This window comes from Homo sapiens, chromosome 11 (genome assembly GCF_000001405.40).
Source record: "Homo sapiens chromosome 11, GRCh38.p14 Primary Assembly".
Taxonomy (NCBI): Eukaryota; Metazoa; Chordata; class Mammalia; order Primates; family Hominidae; genus Homo; species Homo sapiens.
This window is the reverse complement of record NC_000011.10, coordinates 93,443,401-93,468,507: the sequence shown is the minus strand read 5'-3', so window position 1 is coordinate 93,468,507 and position 25,107 is coordinate 93,443,401. Positions and strand designations below refer to the sequence as shown.

Here is a 25,107-nt window from a genome sequence, read left to right as displayed (position 1 = left end):
TACTCTCATGCAAACTTCCAAGTCAGCCATGGCCTGTGAGGAAATGCATTACGTTGTGTTTGTCCCATCCTAACTTCCCCTGGATTTGTGAGTGGCTTATACCTAAGCAGGGTGACATGTCCTCCGGATAGACCTACCACATGGGCCGACCCACCCTGAGCTGGGTCCCAGGAGCTCTGCTTAGCTGCTCTTGCCCATCATTGTCCATCTGCCCCACTGCACTGCTGTACCCTGAGGAAATATCTCCCTGAGGCTCTTATTTAGTCTACTGCTGATACGTAAATTTGCTGCATGGAGCCCAGACCATATTTATGTAGCAATTAAGGTCTATATTTCATGGTTAGATTTTCAGACTATCTTAAAAAACCTATTTGAATTTTAGAACATTAGAGATGAAAAGTTTCTTAGAGTTTACTGGCTAGATCTCCTACCACTTCCTGGAGCATCCTGATAGATTCTGATTAAGTATCTAGCATTAGGAGAGCCTAGAACTGGAGAAGATAGGCCCCAAATACTGGTGTTAAAAAATAAAACAAAGTAACAGAAGAAAAAGGATTTTGAAGAAGATTCCATATCCAAATAAGGATATCTTGTACTTTCTCCTTCAAGTTAGGCTTGGGATTTGGCCCCTGCCTTAGAGTCTTTGTCATTACCTATAGTAATGATAAGAATTAATCCTAGCTACAATCAGAATAACTTGAGTCCATGTGCATGAAGCAGGTATGGGAGAGGAGCCTATGTCCCAGCTCTTAACTGGATAAGAATGATGACAAACTCAGGGAGGCTGAGGCAGGAGAATTGCTTGAACCCAGGAAGGAGAGGCTGCAGTGGACCAAGATTGCACCACTGCACTCCAGCCTGGGCCACAGAGTGAGACTTTGTCTCAAAAAAAAGAAAGATGCTGACAAACTCATATGTCATGTTAAACCCTTACAACCACAATTCCTATGTGTTGGCTCAGGCTGAATAAAGACTTCTGGTTAATGATGGTGAGTTGAATACATGCTCCCTCTTAAAGGTAAAGCCATAGTAAAGTAAAAGGAAAAAAGACATACATTCCTAGTGAAGCAGGATATTTCCCTATCCCCTTCACAAGACTCATAACAGGGGTGCCTCATTTACTCAGCCTGCTGCTCTCAACTCCTTGCAGGAGGGAGCGCATCAGCAAATGAGGTGGGAACTGGAGTGTGTGAGTGTTGGAACTGGTTGGCTGCCTCGGCACTGGCAGGAGAGAACTCCATGCAGGCCCTTGTGGCAGTGTCTAGGTTGGGGTACCTGTAACCCCCAAAGCCCCAGAGGGCATGTTACAGTGCTCTGCACTCATGGCTCCTGAGCTCTTGTGTGGTGTCCAGGAAAAATGAGTTTGCATAGGCAAATTGAAGGATGGTAAATGTGGGGGATTTTACTGCCGATGAAAGTGGCTCTCAGTGAGAAGGGGAGCCGAAATGGGGTGGGAAGGTAATCTTCCTCTGAAGTCTGTCTGTCTCCAGCTGGATTCTTCTCTGAAGTTATGCTGTTAAGCTGTCTGTCTAAAGTCAAGCTGCTTCTCTCTGACATCCAGCTGCAGTCCTGACATCCAGCTGTAGTCCTGACGTCCAGCTACTTCTCTGCTGGCTGAGTCTGGGGTCTTTATAGGCACAGGATAGGGAGGGGTGGGGCCATGGGTAGTTCACGAAAAGGCAACATTCGAGTGGGAAAACAGGGATAGAAGTTCTTATTTTGGGCCATGGTTTCAGGCTTTTCAGCTTGAGGGTGGGGTTTTTGCCAGGGACCCGCCCTTTCTTGCCTAGAATTTCTCTGCCTCCTGTCCCTATCACTAGCATGAAGAGAAAGGGAGCAGAGGTAAGAGCAGCTCCATTTTGAAAAATGGAAAGCAAAGGGTTGAGTGGTAACTGCCTTAGCAGACCTGAGAACAATGAGTTATAGTTGGCAGTGAGAGCATCTCAAAATCAGCCTGACTGTCACTGCAGATCCTCACAAAGCTCAGGAATGGGTATACCCAGATTATTCTGGAAGTGACTGTGAAGGTAAAGCTAGAAGAAGGATTGGTAGAAAGTCAGCCTAAGAACTCGTTAAACTACCAGATTCTTTCCCCAATCGTGACAGAAGGCAGGTGATTCATTCTCAAGAGAGAGTCGAACACAGAGTCTCTTGGCTGACGGCACCAGGTACAGCTGAAGGAAGAGATCTTGTACTAAAAATATGGGCTCCAGTAATATACATATCGAATGCTGAGATCCTCAACCTTTTTTTTCCACCTGGACCCCCAGAATGTGGCAAGGAAGAGTATACCCTTCAGACAGAAAATTAGAAGCAGCCTCTCTGAGAAATGTAACAGATCCAAGAGAAAAGACCTAAGGACACTAATATTGAGGGTTACCCAAAGAAATCTATTTGGATTCACCTGCAGTAAAGCTCCAGGTTAGTAAAATTCCACTGAGCCCACCCATGGGCACAGAGATTTTTAGTGTCCCACTTTTAAATACAAGCAGATGGCTAAGGATCATGATATATTTTTTAAAAGACAGAAGCCAACATAAGGAAACATTAAATAGCGATGCAAAGGAAACAGAGACCATACTGAATGACTGAATGATGATTGCTGTTTGGATCAAAATAAACTTCCTAATGTGAATGTGAATATATATGTTTTAAATATGGTTTAAAATTTGTTTTTCTGCTGCACAGTGACCAAAACAGATTGTGAATGGAAGGGCTAAGAAAGTTAAAACCAATATATACAATTCAAACCGAACTCCTATTCAAAGAACAGTCATATTTTGTGGCCTGCAACACATTTGAATAAAACACACACCAGCTTCCATGGTATAGTGAGAATCCAGGATGTAGTATATGGAAGCATATAACTGGAGAAGATGAACTCATGGTGCTCATATTAAAACAAGACAAAGAGGATTTTGAAGATTCCAAATCTAGAGGTTACATACCCACTGCTCCTATCCCCTCCCAATTAGGATTGGGATGGACATTGTCCCTGTAGAAAAACCACTATTGCAATTATAAGAACCAAATGACTGAAAACACATTTTAGGACCTCTCTGTTTGGAACTCTGTAGTTTTAACATTTAAAACACCATTGAATGAACATACAGTGTTTCTTGGTGTTTGCACTAAACTCTATAAACTACTACAGCCTGTGGGCCAAATCTAGCCTGCCACCTGCTTTTGAACAGATGGAAAGCTAAGAATAGTTATTTTTAAAAAATAAACTTTTTGAAATAACTGTATTTTCACATGCAGTTGTAGGAAGTAATACAGATAGATCCTGTATACCCTTTACCTAGTCCCCCCCGTATTAACTTCTTCAAACCTACAGTACAGTATCTTAGTATGATCAGCACATTGACATTGATGCAGCCAAGATACAGAACAGATCGTCACAGGGACTTCTCAGCTTCCCTTTTTATAGCCACATCCCCTGCCCTCATGCTCCCACTCGCTCTGTAGCCCCTGGTAACCACTAATCTGGTCTCTATTTCCATAATTTTGTTATTTCAAGAATGTCATATAAATGGTAGAGTACAGAATGGAACCTTTTGAGATTGACCTCTTTTTGCTCAGCATAATGCTCTGCAGAATCCTCCAGGTTTTGCATGAAGCAATCGGTTTTTGTTTTTTCTACTGCTGAGTAGTATTCCATGGTATGGAGGTACCACTTTTTTTTTGTTTTAACCATTCACCTGTTGAAGGATATCTATGCTGTTTCTAGTTTTTGGCTATTATGAATAAAGCTGCTCTGAGCATTCACATATAGGTTTTTTGGTGAACATAAGTATTTACTTCTCTGGGATAAATTTTGAAGAGTTCATATGCTGGGTTGTATGGTAGTTGCATGAAACTGTCCAACTATTTTCCAGAGGAGTGGTTCCACTGTGCATTCCACCAGCAATGTGATCAGTTTCTCTGTGTTCTTGCCATTATTTAGGGTTGTCACTATTTTTTGTTTTTAGCTACTCTGACAAGTGTGTAGTGATAACTTACTGTGGCTAAATTTGCATTTCCCTAATGGCTAATACTGTTGAACACCTTTTCATGAGCTTACTGGCCACCTATCTATTCTCTTCAGTGCAATGCATCTCACATCTTTTCTCCATATTCTAATTGGATCCTTCAGTTTTTTTTCTGTTCAGTTTTGATAGATCTTTATACATTCTAGATGTTAGTCCCCTGTTAGATATGTGGTTTGCAAATATTTTCTCCCAGTAGCTTTTCTTTTCACCCTCTTAACAGACTTTTTTTTTTAAGTTACCTAGTTCAATTTGTTTGTGTCTCCACTAGCAAAAGTATTTTTTTATTATACTTTAAATCCTAGGGTACATGTGCACAACGTGCAGGTTTGATACATAGGTATGCATGTGCCATGTTGGTTTGCTGCACCCATCAACTCATCATTTACATTGGGTATTTCTCCTAATGCTATCCCTACCCCAGCCTCCCACCCCACGACATGCCCCGGTGTGTGATGTTCCCCATCCTGTGTCCAAGTGATCTCATTGTTCATTTCCCACCTATGAGTGAGAACATGCGGTGTTTGGTTTTCTGTCCTTGTGATAGTTTGCTGAGAATGATGGTTTCCAGCTTCATCCATGTCTCTGCAAAGGACAGGAACTCATCCTTTTTTATGGCTGCATAGTACTCCATGGTATATATGTGCCACATTTTCTTTATCCAGTTTATCTTTAATGGACATTTGGGTTGGTTCCAAGTCTTTGCTATTGTGAATAGTGCTGCAATAAACATACGGGTGCATGTGTCTTTATAGCAGCATGAATTCTAATCCTTTGGGTATATACCCAGTAATGGGATTGCTGGGTCAAATGGTATTTCTAGTTGTAGATCCTTGAGGAATCACCACACTGTCTTCCACAATGGTTGAACTAATTTACACTCCCACCAACAGTGTAAAAGCATTCCTATTTCTTAACATCCATGCCTGCATCTTTTGTTTCCTGACTTTTTAATGATTGCCATTCTAACTGGCGTGAGATGGTATCTCATTGTGGTTTTGATTTGCATTTCTCTGATGACCAGTGATGATGAGCATTTTTTCATGTGTCTGTTGGCTGCATAGATGTCTTCTTTTGAGAAGTATCTGTTCACATCCTTTGCCCACTTTTTGATGGGGTTGTTTTTTTTCTTGTAAATTTGTGTAGCTTCTGGAAATTAGCCTTTTGTCAGACGGGTAGATTGCAAAAATTTTCTCCCATTCTATAGGTTGCCTGTTCACTCTGATGATAGTTTCTTTTGCTGTGCAGAAGCTCTTTAGTTTAATTAGATCCCACTTGTCTATTTTGGCTTTTGATGCCATTGATTTTGGTGCTTTAGTCATGAAGTCCTTGCACATGCCTATGTCTTGAATGGTATTGCCTAGGTTTTCTTCTAGGGTTTTTATGGTTTTAGGTCGAACATTTAAGTCTTTAGTCCATCTTGAATTAATTTTTGTATAAGGTGTAAGGAAGAGATCCACTTTCAGCTTTCTACATATGGCTAGCCAGTTTTCCCAGCACCATTTATTAAACAGGGAATCCTTTCCCCATTTCTTGTTTTTGTCAGGTTTGTCAAAGACCAGATGGTTGTAGATGTGTGGTGTTACTTCTGAGGACTCTGTTCTGTTCCATTGGTCTATATATCTGTTTTGTTACCAGTACCATGCTGTTTTGGTTACCGTAGCCTTGTGGTATAGTTTGAAGTCAGGTAGCGTGATGCCTCCAGCTTTGTTCTTTTTGCTTAGGATTGTCTTGGCAATGCGGGCTCTTTTTTGGTTCCATATGAACTTTAAGGTAGTTTTTTTCAATTCTGTGAAGAAAGTAATTGGTAGCTTGATGGGGATGGCATTGAGTCTATAAATTGCTTTGGGCAGTATTGCCATTTTCATGATATTGATTCTTCCTATCCATGAGCATGGAATATTCCTCCATTTGTTTGTGTTCTCTTTTATTTTGTTGAGCAGTGGTTTGTAGTTCTCCTTGAAGAAGTCCTTCACATCCCTTGTAAGTTGTATTCCTAGGTATTTTATTCTCTTTGAAGCAATTGTGAATGGGAGTTCACTCATGATTTGGCTCTCTGTTTGTCTGTTATTGGTGTATAGGAATGCTTGTGACTTCTGCACATTGATTTTGTATCCTGAGACTTTGCTGAAGTTGTTTATCAGCTGAAGGAGATGGTGGGCTGAGACGATGGGGTTTTCTAAAGATACAATCATGTCATCTGCAAACAGGGACAATTTGACTTCCTCATTTCTTAATTGAATACCCTTTATTTCTTTCTCTTGCCTGATTGCCATGGCCAGAACTTCCAACACTATGTTGAATAGGAGTGGTGAGAGAGGGCATCCCTGTCTTGTGCCAGTTTTCAAAGGGAATGCTTCCAGTTTTTGCCCATTTAGTATGATATTGGCTGTGGGTTTGTCATAAATAGCTCTAATTATTTTGAGATATGTTCCATGAATACCAAATTTATTGAGAGTTTTTAGCATGAAGGGCTGTTGAATTTTGTCAAAGGCCTTTTCTGCATCTATTGAGATAATCATGTGGTTTTTGTCTTTGGTTCTGTTTATGTCATGGATTACATTTATTGATTTGTGTATGTTGAACCAGCCGTGCATCCCAGGGATGAAGCCGACTTGATCGTGGTGGATAAGCTTTTTGGTGTGCTACTGGATTCAGTTTGCCAGTATTTTATTGAGGATTTTTGCATCAATGTTCATCAGGGATACTGGTCTAAACTTCTCTTTTTTTGTTGTGTCTCTGCCCGGCTTTGGTATCAGGATGATGCTGGCCTCATAAAATGAGTTAGGGAGGATTCCCTCTTTTTCTATTGATTGGAATAGTTTCAGAAGGAATGGTGCCAGCTCCTCTTTGTACCTCTGATAGAATTCGACTGTGAATCTGTCTGGTCCTGGACTTTTTTTCGCTGGTACGCTATGAATTATTGCCTCAATTTCAGATCCTGTTATTGGTCTATTCAGAGATTCAACTTCTTCCTGGTTTAGTCTTGGGAGGGTGTATGTGTCTAGGAATTTATTTGTTTCTTCTAGATTTTCTAGTTTATTTGCATAGAGGTGTTTATAGTATTCTCTGATGGTAGTGTGTATTTCTGTGGGATCGGTGGTGATATCCCCTTTATCATTTTTTATTGCATCTATTTGATTCTTCTCTTTTTTCTTCTTTATTAGTCTTGCTAGCAGTCTTTCAATTTTGTTGATCTTTTCAAAAAACCAGCTCTTGGATTCATTGATTTTTTGAAGGGTTTTTTATGCCTCTATCTCCTTCAATTCTGCTCTGATTTTAGTAATTTCTTGCCTTCTGCTAGCTTTTGAATGTGTTTGCTCTTGCTTCTCTAGTTCTTTTAATTGTGTTGTTAGGTTGTCGATTATAGATCTTTCCTGCTTTCTCTTGTGGGCATTTAGTGCTATAAATTTCCCTCTACACACTGCTTTAAATGTGTCCCAGAGATTCTGGTACGTTATGTCTTTGTTCTCATTGGTTTCAAAGAACATCTTTATTTCTCCCTTCACTTCGTTATTTACCCAGTAGTCATTCAGGAGCAAGTTGTTCAGTTTCCATGTAGGTGTGCAGTTTTGAGTGAGTTTCTTAATCCTGAGTTCTAATTTGATTGCACTGTGGTCTGAGAGACAGTTTGTTGTTATTTCTGTTGTTTTACATTTGCTGAGGAGTGCTTTACTTCCAATTATGTGGTCAATTTTAGAATAAGTGTGTTGTGGTGCTGAGAAGAATATATATTCTTTTGATTTGGGGTGGAGAGTTCTGTAGATGTCTATTATGTCTGCTTGTTGCAGAGCTGAGTTCAGGTCCTGAATATCCTTGTTAACCTTCTGTCTTGTTGATGTGTCTAATGTTGACAGTGGGGTGTTAAAGTCTCCCATTATTATTGTATGGGAGTCTAAGTCTCTTTGTAGGTCTCTAAGGACTTGCTTTATGAATCTGGGTGCTCCTGTATTGGGTGCATATATATTTAGGATAGTTAGTTCTTCTTGTTAAATTGATCCCTTTACCATTATCTAATGGCCTTCTTTGTCTCTTTTGATCTTTGTTGGTTTAAAATCTGTCTTATCAGAGACTAGGATTGCAACCCTTGTTTTTTTTTGCTTTCCATTTGCTTGGTAGATCTTCCTCCATCCCTTTATTTTGAGCCTATGTGTGTCTTTGCATGTGAGATGGGTCTCCTGAATACAGTACACTGATGGGTCTTGACTCTTTATCCAATTTTCCAGTGTGTGTCTTTTAATTGAGGCATTTAGCCCATTTACGTTTAAGGTTAATATTGTTATGTGTGAATTTGATCCTGTCATTATGATGTTCGCTGGTTATTTTGTCTGTTAATTGATGCAGTTTCTTCACAGCATCGATGGTCTTTACAATTTGGCCTGTTTTTGCAGTGGTTGGTACTGGTTGTTTCTTTTCATGTTTGGTGCTTCCTTCAGGAGCTCTTGTAAGGCAGGCCTGGTGGTGACAAAATCTCTCAACATTTGCTTGTCTGTAAAGGATTTTATTTCTCCTTTACTTATGAAGCTTAGTTTGGCTGGATATGAAATTCTGGTTGAAAATCCTTTTCTTTCAGAATGTTGAATATTGGCCCCCACTCTCTTCTGGCTTGTAGAGTTTCTGCCGAGGGATCTGCTGTTAGTCTGATGGGCTTCCCTTTGTGGGTAACCCGACCTTTCTCTCTGGCTGCCCTTAACATTTTTTCCTTCATTTCAACCTTGGCGAATCTCTCAATTATGTGTCTTGGGGTTGCTCTTCTCGAGAAGTATCTTTGTGGTGTTCTCTGTATTTCCTGAATTTGAATGTTGGCCAGCCTTGCTAGATTGGGGAAGTTCTCCTGGATAATATCCTGAAGAGTGTTTTCCAACTTGGTTCCATTCTTCCCATCACTTTCAGGTACACCAGTCAAACGCAGATTTGGTCTTTTCACATAGTCGCATATTTCTTGGAGGCTTTATTCATTTCTTTTCACTCTTTTTTCTCTAATCTTGCCTTCTTGCTTTATTTCATTAATTTGATCTTCAGTCACTGATACCCTTTCTTCCGCTTGATCGCATCAGCTATTGAAGCTTGTGCATGCGTCACGAAGTTCTCATGCCATGGTTTTCAGCTCCATCAGGCAATTTAAGGTCTTCTCTACACTGTTTATTCTAGTTAGCTATTCGTCCAATCTTTTTTCAAGGTTTTTAGCTTCCTTGCAATGGGTTTGAACATCCTTTTTTAGCTCGGAGAAGTTTGTTATTACCGACCTTCTGAAGCCTACTTCTGTCAACTCATTAAAGTCATTCTCCATCCATCTTTGTCCCATTGCTGACGAGGAGTTGCAATCCTTTGCAGAAGAGGTGCTCTGATTTTTAGAATTTTCAGCTTTTCTGCTCTGACTTCTCCCCATCTTTGTGGTTTTATTTACGTTTGGTCTTTGATGTTGGTGACCTACAGATGGGGTTTTGGTGTGGATGACCTTTTTGTTGATGTTGATGCTATTCCTCTCTGTTTGTTAGTTTTCCTTCTAACAGTCAGGTCCCTCAGCTGCAGGTCTGTTGGATTTTGCTGGAGGTCCACTCCAGACCCTGTTTGCCTTTGTATCACCAGTGGAGGCTGCAGAACAGCAAGTATTGCAGAACAGCAAAAATTGCTGCCTGATCCTTCGTATAGAAGCTTCATCCCAGAGGGGCAGCCGCCTATATGAGGTGTCTGTCAGCCCCTACTGGGACGTGTCTCCCAGTTAGGCTACACGGGGGTCAGGGACCCACTTGAGGAGGCAGTCTGTCCATTCTCAGAGCTCAAAAGCCATGCTGGGAGAACCACTGCTCTCTTCAGAGCTGTCAGACAGGGACATTTAAGTCTGCAGAAGTCATCTGCTGCCTTTCGTTCAGCTATGCCCTGCCCACAGAGGTGGAGTCTAGAGGCAGTAGGCCTTATTGAGCTGCCGTGAGCTCTGCCCAGTTCGAGCTTCCTAGCCACTTTGTTTACCTCCTCAAGCATCAGCCATGGTGGACGCCCGTCCCTCAGCCAGGCTGCCGTCTTGCAGATCGATCTCAGACTGCTGTGCTAGCAGTGAGCAAGGCTCTGTGGGAGTGGGAGCCGCTAAGTCAGGCATGGGAGAGAATCATCTTGTCTGCTGGTTGCTAAGACCTTGGGAAAAGCACAGCCTTTGGGTGGGAGTGTCCCGATTTTCCAGGTAGTCTGTCACAGCTTCCCTTGGCTAGGAAAGGGAAATCCCCCACCCTGCTTCAGCTCGCCTTCTGTGGGCTGCACCCACTGTCCAACCAGTCCCAATGAGATGTACCAGGTACCTCAGTTGTAAATGCAGAAATCACCCGTCTTCTGCATCAGTCACACTGGGAGCTGCAGACTGGAGCTGTTCCTATTCGGCCATCTTGGAACCCAAAGCCCAGACTTTTTATCAGAGCAAAAGTGTTTGGTTTTTACAACTTTCAATTTAATTTTTCCATTCATGGATTGTGCTTTTCCTGTCACATCTAAGAATTCTTTGCCTAGCTCTAGGTCCCACAGCTTTTATCCTATGTTTTCACCCTAAAAGTTTCATAGTTTTACATTTAAGTTCATGATCCATTTTTGTATAATTAATTTTATAATTTATTAATTACAAAAAAAGATAATTTTTATAGAAAGTGTGAGACGTAAGGTTCATATTTTTGCCTTTGGATATCCAATCGCTTCAGCATAGTTTATTGGATGGCTATCATTCCTCCATTGAATTCTTTTTGTACATTTGTCAAAAATCAGTTAGGCGTACTTGTGTGGGTCCACTTCTGAGTTCTTCATTGATATCACACAGACTTCGTTACTTTCCCTATATATTGTCTCAAAATTGAGTAGACTGAATCTTTTCTCTTTATTCTTTTTCAAAATTGTTTTAGCTATTCTAGTTTGTTTACTATATAAAATGTAGAATAACCTTGTCTGTGTGTAACAAAAAGTCTTGGCATTTAATTGGAATTGCATTAAATCTGTACATCAATTTCTAAACCTGTATATCTGAGACCTTTACTATGTCGAGTCTTCTAATTGATGGTACGTCTTTCATTTTAAAAAGTCTTTGATTTCTTTCATCAGCATTTAGCAGTTTTCAGCATACAAATCCTGCATGTGTTTTGTTAGATTTACACCTAGGTATTTAATTTATTTAGTGATTGTAAATGTTATCAGATTTTTAATTTCAATGTCCATGTGTTTATTGCTGGTATATATACAATTGATTTTTGTGTATTTATCTTGTGTCCTTTGAGCTTACTGGGCTCTCTTATCAGTTCTAGAAGTTTTTTTGTAGATTCCTTGGGACCTTCACTAGACAATCATTTTACTAGAAAATAGGGAAAGTTTTATGTCTTCCTTTCTGATTTATGCACCTTTTATTTTTTGTCACTTATCACACTGGCTAGAACTTCCAGCACTATGTTGAATAAGAAGGGTGAGAATGGACATCTTCGCCTTATTCCTGATCTTTTTTTTTAAGACGGAGTCTCACTCTGTCGCCAGGCTGGAGTGCAGTGGTGTGATCTCGGCTCACTGCAACCTCCACCTCCCGGTTTCAAGCGATTCTCCTGCCTCAGCCTCCTGAGTAGTGGGATTACAGGCGCCTGCCACTGTGCCCAGCTAATTTTTGTATTTTTAGTAGAGACGGGGTTTCACCAAGTTGGCCAGGATGGTCTCGATCTCTTGACCTCGTGATCTGCCCACCTCGGCTTCCCAAAGTGCTGGGGTTACAGCCCTTGTTCCTGATCTTAAGGGGAAAACATTCTGCCTTTTACCATTAAGTAAAATGTGATCCATAGGTTTTTGTAAACATTCTTTATCAAGTTCCCTTTGTTCTTATTTTTCTGAAAGTTTTTTTTTTAATCATGAAAGAGTGTTTAATTTTGTCAAATGCGTTTTCTGCATTAATTCATATGATCATGTGAATTTTTTTCTTTAGTCTTCTCATGTCCTCAGGTGGATTACATTGTTTCACTTTTGAACCAGCCTTGCATCTCTGGAATAAATCCCAATTAATCATGGTATATATATATTTTGTTAAGGATTTTTGCATGGATATTCATGAGAATTTTTTGTTTGTAGTTTGCTATGTCCTTGTCTCATTTTGCTATTATGGGAATATTATTTTCAAATGAATTGGGAAATGTTTTCTTTCCTATTTCCTAGAAGAGATTTCTGAAATTCGTGTTTTGTTTTGTTTTTTTTAACTTTTGCTAGAATTTTCTGATGAAATCATTTGGACCTAGAGATTTCTTTTTTGGTAACTTAAAAATTATGAATTCAGTTTCCTCAGTAGTTTAGGGCTATTTAAATTTACTAGTTTCCTACTGAGTGAATTGTAATAATCTGTGTTTTTTGAGAACTTGGTCCATTTCAACAAAGTTGTCAAATAAATATTTGTGTTCATAGCAGTCCTGTATCCTTTTGCCTTTTGCAGAGTGTGCAGTGAGATCCTCTGTTTCATTCCTGATAATGGTAATTTGTATTTTCTTCCTTCTTTTGTCAGTCTTGCTAGAGATTTGTTAATTTTATTTATTTTTTTCAAAGAGCCAGCTCTTTATTTCATTGATTTTCTCAATTTTTCTGATTTCCATTTTATTGGCTTTTGCTCTTTATTGTCTCTTCCTTCTGCTTGCTTTGGGTTTATTTTGGTCTTTTTTATCCCTAGGTTCTTGAGATGGGAACTTAGATGATTTGAGACTTTTCCCCTTTTCTAATGTATGCATTTAGTGCTATTAATTTCCTTCTTAGCACTGCTTTAGCTTGGAACCAGAAGGGTCCCTTTTTTTTTTAAGTGATTTAATCGTTTTATTTATTTTATTGATTCTCTTCAAGGATCTTCATTTCATTTTATTAAATTTTCTGGATTTCGATAATACAATGAGATATAAATTATTGCTCCCCCAAACATAAAAAATAAAAAAAATTCTAATGAGTATTCTACTCCCTTAGTTCTTTTTTTTTTTTTTTTTTAAATACTTTAAGTTCTGGGATACATGTGCAGAATGTGCAGGTTTGTTACACAGGTATACATGTGCCATGGTGGTTTGCTGCACCCAGCAACCCGTCACCTACATTAGGTATTTCTCCTAGTGCTATCCCTCCCCTAGCCCCACCAACCCCCTGACAGGCCCTGGTGTGTGATGTTCCCCTCCCTGTCTCCATGTGTTCTCATTGTTCAGTTCCCACTGATGAGTGAGAACATGCAGTGTTTGGCTTTCTGTTCCTGTGTTAGTTTGCTGAGAATGATGGTTTCCAGCTTCATCCATGTCCCTGCAAAGGACGTGAACTCATCCTTTTTTATGGCTTCATAGTATTCCATGGTGTATATGTGCCCCATTTTCTTTATCTAGTCTATCATTGATGGACATTTGGGTTGGTTCCAAGTCTTTGCTATTGTCAATAGTGCTGCAATAAACATACTTTTGCATGTGTCTTTCTAGTAGAATCATTTCTAATCCTTTGGGTTTATACCCAGTAATGGGATTGCTAAATCAAATGGTATTTCTAGTTCTAGATCCTTGAGGAATCGCCACACTGTCTTCCACAATGGTTGAACTAATTTACACTCCCACCAATAGGGTAAAAGTGTTCCTGTTTCTCCATATCTTTGCCAGCATCTTTTATTTTCTCACTTTTTAATGATTGCTATTCAAACTGGCCTGAGATGGTATCTCACTCTGGTTTTGATTTGCATTTCTCTAATGACCAGTGATGATGAGCTTTTTTTCATGTTTACTGGCTGCATAAATGTCTTCTTTTGAGAAGACATTTCTCAATCTGTCTGTTCATATCCTTCACCCACTTTTTGATGGGGTTGTTTGTTTTTTTCTTGTAAATTAGTTTAAGTTCTTTGTAGGTTCTGGATATTAGCCCTTTGTCAGATGGATTGCAAAAATTTTCTCCCATTCTGTAGGTTGCCTGTTCACTCTCATGACAGTTTCTTTTGCTGTTCAGAAGCTCTTTAATTAGATCCCATTTGAGAATTTTGGCTTTTGTTGCCATTGCTCTTGGTGTTTTAGTCATGAAGTCTTTGCCCATGCCTATGTCCTGAATGGTATTGCCTAGGTTTTCTTCTAGGGCTTTTATGGTTTTAGGTCTTACATTTAAGTCTTTAATCCATCTTGAATTAATTTTTGCATAAGGTGTAAGAAAGGGGTCCAGTTTCAGTTTCTGCAGAAGGGTCCTTTTTACCGCTAAGCTCAGGTGAATATTCTGACTCTCCACCAGGCCTCCACTGCCCCACCCTAGGGGTGAGGGGTAGAGTTGCCTGTTCCTGCCTTGTATGAGATACCCACATAATCTGTACTGATGCTGCAGAGGTGTACATTGCATCACCTGCTGGCATGGATGAGAGTTCTTTTGCCCTACTCAGCCCTCTGCGATGCCACTTTGCTATGTGTTTGAAGAGAGGGCAGAAGTCTAGGCTCTCCCTCTGCCTTTGCTGGTGTGGGTGTTAGTGTGGCCAACAGCTTTTTTGGGGGTGGTTGGCTGGATTTTAGTGGTTCTTATCTGTAAGTTTTCTGTCTGGCTGTGCTGCCCCTTTCTCGGTCCTTGCCAAGAGAGAGCAGGCTTTTGATGGGGCCTTTTCTGTCTGTGCCTGTTGCCAGTTTGTTCAGCTCCAAGTCTGGGATGTATGAGTGTAGTAGTTTCCTAGGGCAGCTGTAACAAAGTGCTACACATTGGGTGGCTCAAACAACAGAAATGTATAGCCTTGCAGTTCTGGAGGCTGGAAGTCCAAAGTCAAGGTGTCAGTAGATTAGTTCCTCTTGATTGCTGTGAGGGAAAATCTGTTCCAGACCTCTCTCCCAGCTGCTGGTGGTTGGCTGGTGATCTTTGATGCTTCTTGACTTGTGGAAGCATCACCTTGATATTTACCTTTACATTCACATGGTGTTCTCCCTGGGTGCAACTGTGTCTAAATATCCCCCTTTTATAAGGACACTAGTCAGAATGGACTAAGGGTCCACTCTACTCCAAAATGACCTCGTTTTAGTAACTAATACATCTGCAGTGACCCTATTTCCACATAAGGTCACATTCTAAGGCACTAGGGGTTAAGACAGCAACATATGAATTTTGGGAGAACACAATTCAAGCCATAATTATGAGGCAAAAAGAAAATCCAGGAAACTCACCAGCTTGTTTTTTTGCTCCTGAGGGTTCTAGCCAGTCTTCCTTCTCTCTCTATCTTTCAGTCATCTTGTGTTTATTTCATATATAAGTCCAGAGATTTTAGTTGTACTTAGCAGGAAGAATAAGTGTATGTATGTTGGAGGGTAAATGCAACTTGAGAAAATGTGGCCTAAGAGGGAACAGAGAAACATGAAAGAAAGGCACTTGTATCAGGAGTTCCATGTCACAGTTTTGATTATGTTTGTCCCATAGCCTGTTCATGACTTTATGAAGCCGTGGGACAGATATAATCAAAAGCACTATCTGCTTCCCATCCTTACCCTATCTTCGGGAGCAGGTAGACTATTTGCAGGGCCCAGTGCAAAATAAAAATGCAGGGACCTGGCTTTGAAAATTATTAAGTTCAAGATGTCAAGAGCAGAGCATTCAACCAAGCCCTTCTGAGCACAAGACCCTGTGTCACATGCCTGTGAAGTCAATCCCTCCTATCCCTTGATGCTAACTGCTGTTGAGCCTCTAAAACTCAGCTAGACATCATTTCCTTGGGGAGCCTTTTTTAGATAACTCCTATTTTCCACCCTCTCCTAATACACACACTGCTACCTGCCCCCCCAAGTTGGGTTAGGTATCTTCGTTTGAGCTTCCATAATGCTGTGCACATGTTTTTAATATTGCATGTTGTTTTTTAATGATCTGTATAGGTGTCTGACACTCATTTGGGAACTTTTTGAGAGCATGAATTGTTTTTGACTCAACTTCATACCTCTAAAACCTAGCACAGCCTGGCTTGCAATAGACAGTCAAGAAATGCTTTTTGACCTGACTGCTGAACTGAGTGAAAGAAATGGCAAACTAATGAGGTGAACCTGTTCCCACTTCCTTCATCTCCTCCACCTCCATCCAAACATGAAAGTGTTGCTACAAACTCTGTAAAGCTGACAACTTAAGACCATCTTTAAAATTATTTAAAACTTATTTGTGAATATCTAAGTAGAAAACAGCTATGTCGACTGGTAAACTAACCAATGAACATAACATTGGACCACACTATCCATGTTTATTCAGGATTGTGGGCTATCATCTAGCATCTGGGCCAATGTCTGACCCTTGGTGGGTTCTCAGTGAATTCTGTGGAACGAATGATGAGCCAGGTAGCAAGCACATGAGAACATCCGTTTACTTAGCTTCTTCTTCCTTCACTTCTTTTCCAACTCATCCTTTATGGTCCAACTCAAAATTCAGCTTCTGGGTTAATCTCACTCTCATCTGAGAATTTTTAAATCTTTATATATCTAAAGTTTTATTCTCCCCAAAACTTTGGGTGCCTTATACATTTAGCATACTATCTTCAATAAAATAAACGTATTTTCTCCAAAATACGGCTATTACGTTTGGCCATTAAATCCTATCTATTCTTAAGTACTCATATTTTCAATATTAAAAATAATGACTGACTGATATATGTTTGTTTTCCAAGCTCTGGGACAGTTCTCGATTCATGTTTTATTGATTATTTTCAGGGTTTTGTATATATATATATTTATTTATATACATATATATGCACATAAATGAATACACACACGTATATGGATATATACTCTCCCCAAATTCTTGGGTGCAACTCTTGTTAATATAAAAACTTTGGTTATGAAGTAAACTTTATATATAGCAAACATTTTATCTGAAGCCAAAGAACTGTTTTAGTTTGATTACTCATAATTTTATCTATCAAAATTCCTTGGTAATGATTCATGAAATAATTTATCATGACCAACGGATATATTTAGGATTAGAAAAGGTTTCAGCTCAATCAGCACTGACTTTTGGAAGATTTTCCTCAAGCTGATGAAAAGGAAGAATTTCCAAGCTGCAATGTTGTTTTTATAACCAACCAACCAAACAAAAACCAAAAGAAATCATACCAAATGGGAAGAATGATAGCTCAGTTCTTTTCTGTTTTATCAATTTAATGTATACAATTTTGTAATGAAGGGAGATCTGTCGTGCATACCTCAAGTACAAAAAAGCCTGTTGGCCCTATGTTACATAATAATTTTTTCAGGCAAGTGCTATGATGTGAGTGTTTGTGTTACCCCAAAATTCATATGAAATGTAATCTCCAGTGCAATATTACTAAGAGATGGGGCCTTTAGGAGGTGACTAGATCATGAGGACCAATTACTGACCCTATAAAAAGAGGCCTTAAGGGGCTTGTTTGTCCCTTCTGCTGTGAGGACATAGCTAGAAGGTGTCATCTATAAGGAAGGGCCTTTCCTGAGACACCAAATCTGCTGGTGCCTTGATCTTGGACTTCCCAGCCTCTGGAACTGTGAGCAACAATTTTCTGTTTATAAATTACTCACTCTAAGGTATTTTGTTATAGCAGCCTTAAAAGACTGAGGCAGCAGGTCACCACACCTGATAAAAGACACATTGACCAGATAAGTGAAAAGCTTAATTCTTCATTTTACTTATTTAGAGACGAAGTCTTGCTGTGTTGCCAGGCTGGAGTGCAGTGGCGTGATCTCAGCTCACTGCAACCTCTGCCTCCCAGGTTCAAGCAATTCTCCTGCCTTAGCCTCCCAGGTAGCTGGGACTACAGGTGTGCACCACCATGCCCAGCTAATTTTTGTATTTTTAACAGAGACGGGGCTTCACCCTGTTGGCCAGGCTGGTCTCGATCTATTGACCTAGTGATCCGCCTGCCTTGGTGTCCCCAAGTGCTAGGATTACAGGCATGAGCCACTGCACTCAGCCTAATTTTTCATTTTATGTGAAACCCACAGAGCCAGTAAGTTTGATCTTGGATGGGTTCCTCCTGTTGAGGGAGCAGCCATTTCATTTCTGTGTGAGTAAACAACATTTGGGAAGTCAACGCATCTGAGCTCCTCTTATTTAGCAGAGGTCTTGGTCATCAGTTGTCAGCAGTAAATATCAAAACAAGTGTGGTTCATTGCAAACCACACCTTGGTCCTTTGGCATTTTGTTTTTCCTTTCCTTGGCAGGCAAGGGAGGAAAACGTGTCCATCTGAATTAAGTACAGCGCTTATCATTGGGTGCTTTCCCAGGAGGCTGGGGCTCCTAAGGCAGCAGTTTTCAAGGGGGCTTTCAAGTGAGGAGAACTCTGGTCTTTGGGCAGAAGCAGGCTTGGGTTTTGTTAGCTTCCCTGTTGCCAGCATTTGGAACTCCCAGGAGGCACAAGTCATTGAGGAAAAACAAAACAAACAAACAAAAACACTTGAACTAGGACACCCACAAAAGAAGGCTGTTTTTGGTGGCAGCCTTGGTGGTGCAGTGAGGAGTCACCTTTTCCTTCAAGAAGCCCTATGTCTGCTAGAGGCAGTGTGGCCTGGTGGAAGCAGCACAGATGTTAGCACTCCACAGACTGGCCATTTTCCAGATACTTGATCTTGGAATACTATCACTCAGTCTTTTAAGTCTCAAAATAAAATAGGCCTAATTCTTACTTTCAAGGTTATTATAAAGGTCAAATCAAGTTTAAAAGACACAGATCACCAAAATGGACTCAAGAAGAAATAGAAAATCTGAACAGAGCTATAACAAGGAAAGATATTAAGTAATAATTAAAATTTTCCCACAAAGAAAAGCCCGGACCAGATAGCTTCACTAGTGAATTTCATTGGCATTTAAATAAATAATACAAACTCTTCTAGAAAACAGAGGAGTAGGGAAAACTTCACTATTCACTCTATGAGGCAAAAATTACCCTGATACCGAAGCCAGACAAAGACATGACAAGAAAACTAGAGACCAATATCCCTCATGTATATAGACACAATTCTCAACAAAATATAAGCAGACAAAATCCAGCAACATATAAAAGGAATTATACATCACGATCAAGTAGGCTTTATCCCAGAAACATAAGATTGGTTTATCCCTTTTAAAAGTTAATATAATATTCTATATTAATAAAGGACAAAAACCCCATGATCATCTCAGCAGACACAGAAAAAGCATTTAACAAAATCTAATGGCCAATCATAAAAACTCTCAATAAACTAGGACTATATGAGAACTTCTGCAACTTGATAAAAAGCATCTACAAAAAACCTGTCGCTAACATCATAATTAATGATGAAAGACTAAAAGCTTTCTCTTAAGATCAAGAACAAGGCAAACATGTCTGCTCTCGCCACTTCTATTTAACATTGTACTGGAGTTTCTAGCTAGTGCAGTCAGGTAAGGAAAAGAAAGAAAATGTTCCCAGAATGGAAAGAAGAAGTAAAAAAGCTGTCTTTACGTAAAGACAACATGACCCTGTATGCAGAAAATTCCGAGGAGCGCGCACGCGCGCACACACACACACACACCCCTACTAGAATAAATGAGCTCAGCTGGGTCACAGAATACAAAACTAGTATACAAAAATCTATTGTATTTCTATATACTAACCATGAACAATCCAATAATGAAATTAAGAAAACAATTCATTAGTAACAGCATCAAATCAAATAAAATATTTAGGAATAAATTTAACAAAAGAAGCATAATATTATACATTGGAAACTAAAACATTTCTAAGAGAAATTAAAGAAGAACTAAATAATGGAAAAAATGTGAAATTTCATGTTTACAAATTGGAAGACTCAATATTATTAAGATGGCAATGCCGCCCAAACTGAGATTCAGTATAGGTCATTTTGGAGAGGACTGCCGTCTTAATCTCCATAGAAATCTCAGCAGGCTTACTATTATTATTATTATTACTTTTTTTTTTACAAAAATTGACAAGCTGACAAGCTGATCAAACTACCCAAAATAGTCAAAATCATTTTGAAAGTTGGAGGACTTACACTTCCCAATATCAAAACTTCTGGCAAAGCTACAGTAAGTACGATTGTGTGGTACTGGCATAAGGAATAACATATAGGTCAATGTAAGAGAATTAAGAGTCCAGAAATAAACCCTTATGTTTATATCCAATTGATTTTTCAACAAAGGTCCAAAACAATTTAAAGGGGAAAAAGAATGTTTTTTTTTTTTGAAACGTATGGTGCTGGGACAATTAGATATCCACAGGTAAAAAGATGAATCTAGACCCTATCACCATACAAAAATGTTAACTCAAAATGGACTCTAGATCTAATGTAAAACTTAAAACTATAACAATTTTAGAAGAAAATATAAAGGATAACTTTGTGACTTGGATTGGGCAAATATTTCTTAGATATGATGCTAAAAGCATAATTCGTAAAATAAAAAAACTAATGAAGTGTACTTTATCAAAATTTAAAACTTATTTGCTTCAAAAGACACCATTAAGAAAATGACAAGTCACAGACTGGGAGAAAATATATGCAAATCTTATATCTGATAAAGGATTAATATCTAATATATAAAGAATTTTTATAACTCAACAAGAGAAATAACCTAATTATAAAATTGGCGAAAGATTTAAATAGACATTTCACTGAAGAATAGATGTGGATGGTCAATAAGCACACATAATGATGCTCAACATCATTAGCCACTAGAGAAATGAGAATTAAAACCAGAATGAAATATTCTTTTATACACACTAAAAATTTTTTTTCAAAGTTAAACATAAATATACCATGTAACTCAGAAATTCTACTCCTAGGAAATGATTCAATAGATATGAAAACATATGTCCCCATGGAGACTTGTGTATTCATAACAGCTTTATTCATAATAGCCCTAAACTGGAAGCAATTCAAATGTCCATCAACTGGTGAAATAGATAAATGAAACGTGGTTTATTCATACAACAGAATACTGCTAAGCAATAAAAAAAGAACAAGATACTGATATATGCTACAATACAAATCTTGAGAACATTATGCTAAGATTAAAAAAAACCCACATATGAATTCATTTATGTAAAATGTCCAGGTAAATCTGTAGAGACAGAAAGTAGTTTAGTAGCTGCCTGGGGTTGGGCATAGGAACAGGGAGTGACTAAAAACAGGCATTAGGGATCTTTTTGGAGTGAAGGTAATGTTCTAAAATTGGGTTGTGGCAATGGATACACAACTCTGTAAACTTAGTAAAAATCATTGAAATATACCTTTTAAATGGGTGAGTTTTATGGTGTGTAATTCTTTTTAAGAAAACTGTTAATGATTAACTTATGTATGGTGGCTGTCACATGGTCCCCAAAAAATGATAGTATTGTTCCTTGAGGATGTGCTTTGTCTTCGGAGTTCAGACCTAATGCCTCAGAGGGCAAGGATGGCAAATGCCAACAGCTAGCATGTACTGAGTACTGACTGTGCCAAGCTCCATGCTAACCACATTATGTACATTACATCCTCTAATCCTCACAACAATCCTCCGAGGTAGGTAGTAGTATTATGCCTGTTCTATAGATAAGGAAATGGAAGCTTTGTTAAGGTCACTGTGCCAAGGCATGGAGAACTTTGTCTCCAACAGGTCTAACTTGTCCTATTGTACAGAGCACCTTTAAGACCTAAACATTTCTAGTCCGGTCCTGGGGTCAGCGAGGTAGCTCTGAGGATCTCCTTAGTTCTATGCTTGGCCCTGCTGAAGGCTTCCCTGTTTGAAACCCTGCTTTTGGTGTGGAGGTTATAACCAGTATCCATGAAACAGTTTCTGCAGGAAAATGTATTCTGTGCTAAGGTAATAACCAAGCAAATCTGCCTCTCCTTCAGGCCCCCTCCACAACATCTAGGGAAGCTGCTCCATGGCCATGCCTTTGGCCTATGGTGAGCAGAAGGGGAAGAGAGGGGAATAGAGATGGGGAGTAGAGAGGGCGGGTTGGCCTCACTACCTCCTTTCAACATTCAACAAGGACTACTTGCCTTTTATCTTGATTACGGTATATCGATGTTGGACTTCAGCATATGATTCCTTTTGAACACTGAATCCTGTTCTTAAGCAAAGCATATCGAAAACCACAATTTTAAGAAAGTTAGTATCAAGTGGAATGCTGAAATAGTAATTTAAAAGAAGTCTGTATATGGACTTAAGTATTAATAGGCCATAGGGGCAAATTTACCATTAGTTCTGGACATAGTCCAAACTCATGCTGTCTTGACTCTGCTAAGTTCTGAGACTATTGTAGCCTAGATCTTTATTTCAACAAACAATTTTCAATTGTATCTTTACCCTGAAGAGAATGAAATGTCATCCTGACTTAGGGGATTATCAAGATATGTATATTGAAACTTTTTCATTGTTTGTATTAGGGATATTAAGGTTTTCAAATTTGTTTATGGAATGCCTTTTTCCTAAACATACTTCTTCCTGTTTTCTAAAGATAACACTGAACAATATTTTCCTCATGTCTAGGCTAGCAATTACTAAATAATTTGAAGGTATCATAATTCTATTATTTTTCCACATGGAGATTTTGTGAGTACACTAATGGCTTTGGACCTTCTGATGTTTTGTCATCAAACCTGGCTTCTGTGGATGCAACTTTGTTCACCATCTGCTTGTTTACAAGAAGTGATACTGGGAAGTAATAAGAGCTAGAGCCAGGAATCAGAAGACCAGGGGTTTCCTTTCTGATTCTCCCATTTACCATGATTCTGAGTAAGTTTCTTAACAGCTCTGATTCCCAGGGACAAGGATATCAGGCTTGGTGACCTCACAGGCTCATTTCGAGTTTAAATGAATAATCCTATGGGAAGGTGTTGTGGACAGAATGTGTGTGCCCACCTAAAATTTATAGAGTCATGCACTGCATAATAATATTTCAATGGACCTAATGTATGATGGTGTTCCCATATTATAATTCCATATTTTGCTCTACCTTTTCTATATTTAGATACACAAATACTTACCATTGTGTTAAAATTACCTACAGCATTCAGTACAGTAACACACTGTACAAGTTTGTAGCCTAGGAGCAATAGGCTATGCCATATAGCCTAGGTGTGTAGTAGTTGTGCCATCTAGGTTTGTATAAGTCCACTCTATGATGTTTGCACAATGTAATTGCCTAACAAGACATTTCTCAGAATATATCCCTGTCATTAAGTGATACATGACTGTATTGAAATTTTAACCTCCATTGTGATGGTATTAGGAAATTGGGCCTTTAGGAGGTAATTACATCATGAGGGTAGACACCTTCATCAATGGGATTACAGCCTTATAAAGAAGAAACGAGAAGTTGCTTCCAAGATGGCCAAACAGTAACAGCTCCGGTCTGCAGCACCCAGCGAGATCGATGAAGACTGGTGATTTCTGCATTTACAACTGAGGTACCTGGTTCATCTCATTGAGACTGGTTGGACAGGAGGTGCAGCTCACGGAGGGCAAGCTGAAGCAGGGCGGGGTGTTGCCTCACCTGGGAAGCGCAAGGGGTCAGGGGATTTCCCTTTCCTAATCAAGGGAAGCTGTGAGGGACTGTACCTGGAAGAACAGTAAACTCCTGCCCAGTAAACTCCTGCCCAAATACTGCGCTTTCCCACAGTCTTCACAACCCGCAGACCAAGAAATTCCCTCCCCTGCCTGGCTTGGCAGCTCCCACGCCCACAGAGCATTGCTCACTGCTAGCGCAGCAGTCTGAGGTAGACCTGTGATGCTGCAGCTTGGTGGGGGGAGGGGCGTCCACCATTGATGAGGCTTGAGTAGGTGGTTTTATGCTCACAGTGTAAACAAAGAGGCTGGGAAGCTTAAACTGGGCGGAGCCCACCACAGCTCAGCAAGGCCTACTGCCTCTCTAGATTCCACATCTAGGGGCAGGACATATCAGAACAAAAGGCAGCTGACAGCCTCGGCTGACCTAAACGTCCCTGTCTGACAGCTCTGAAGAGAGCAGTGGTTCTCTCAGTATGGTGTTCGATCTCTGAAAACGGACAGACTGCCTCCTCAAGTGGGTCCCTGACCCCTGTGTAGCCTGACTGGGGGACACCTCCCACTTGGGGCCGACAGACACCTCATACAGGCAGGTGCCCCTCTGGGATGAAGCTTCTAGGGGAAGGATCAGGCAGCAATATTTGCTGTTCTGCACCCTCCACTGGTGATACCCAGGCAAACAGGGTCTGGAGTGGACCTCCAGCAAAATCCAACAGACCTGCAGCTGAGGGGCTCGACTGTTAGAAGGAAAACTAACAAACAGAAAGGAATAGCATCAACATCAACAAAAAGCACATCCACACCAAAACCCCATCTGTAGGTCACCAACATCAAGGACCAAAGGTAGATAAAACCACGAAGATGGGGAGAAATCAGAGCAGAAAAGCTGAAAATTCCAAAAACTGGAGCACCTCTTTTCCTCCAAAGGATTGCAGCTCCTCGCCAGCAAAGGAACAAAACTGGACAGAGAATGAGTTTGACAAGTTGACAGAAGTAGGCTTCAGAAGGTCGGTAATAACAAACTTCTCCAAGCTAAAGGAGCATGTTCTAACCCACTGCAAGGAAGTTAAAAACCTTGAAAAAAGGTTAGACAAATGGCTAACTAGAATAAACAGTGTAGAGAAGAACTTAAATGACCTGATGGAGGTGAAAACCACAGCATGAGAACTTCGTGATGCATGCACAAGCTTTAACAGCCGACTCGATCAAGTGGAAGAAAGGATATCAGTGATCAAAGGTCAAATTAATGAAATAAAGCGAGAAGACAGGATTAGAGAAAAAAGAGTGAAAAGAAACGAACAAAGCCTCCAGGAAATATGGGACTATGTGAAAAGACCAAATCTACATTTGATTGGTGTTCCTGAAAGTAACAGGGAGAATGGATCCAAGTTAGAAAACATTCTTCAGGATATTATCCAGGAGAACTTCCCCAATCTAGCAAGGCAGGCCAACATTCAAATTCAGGAAATACAGAGAACACCACAAAGATGCTCCTCAAGAAGAGCAACCCCAGGACACATAATTGTCAGATTCACCAAGGCTGAAATGAAGGAAAAAATGCTAAGGGCAGCCAGAGAGAAAGGTCGGGTTACCCACAAAGGGAAGCCCATAAGACTAACAGCGGATCTCTCAG

General features: G+C 39.8%; 1 annotated feature.

The window, feature by feature from the left end:
- Positions 23,552–24,124: an enhancer, noted in NCBI's record as "NANOG-H3K27ac hESC enhancer chr11:93177550-93178122 (GRCh37/hg19 assembly coordinates)". NCBI's record gives its function as "activates a minimal SCP1, AML or CMV promoter by ChIP-STARR-seq in naive H9 embryonic stem cells {active_cell/tissue: H9 hESC(naive)}" and the evidence as "EXISTENCE:reporter gene assay evidence [ECO:0000049][PMID:30033119]".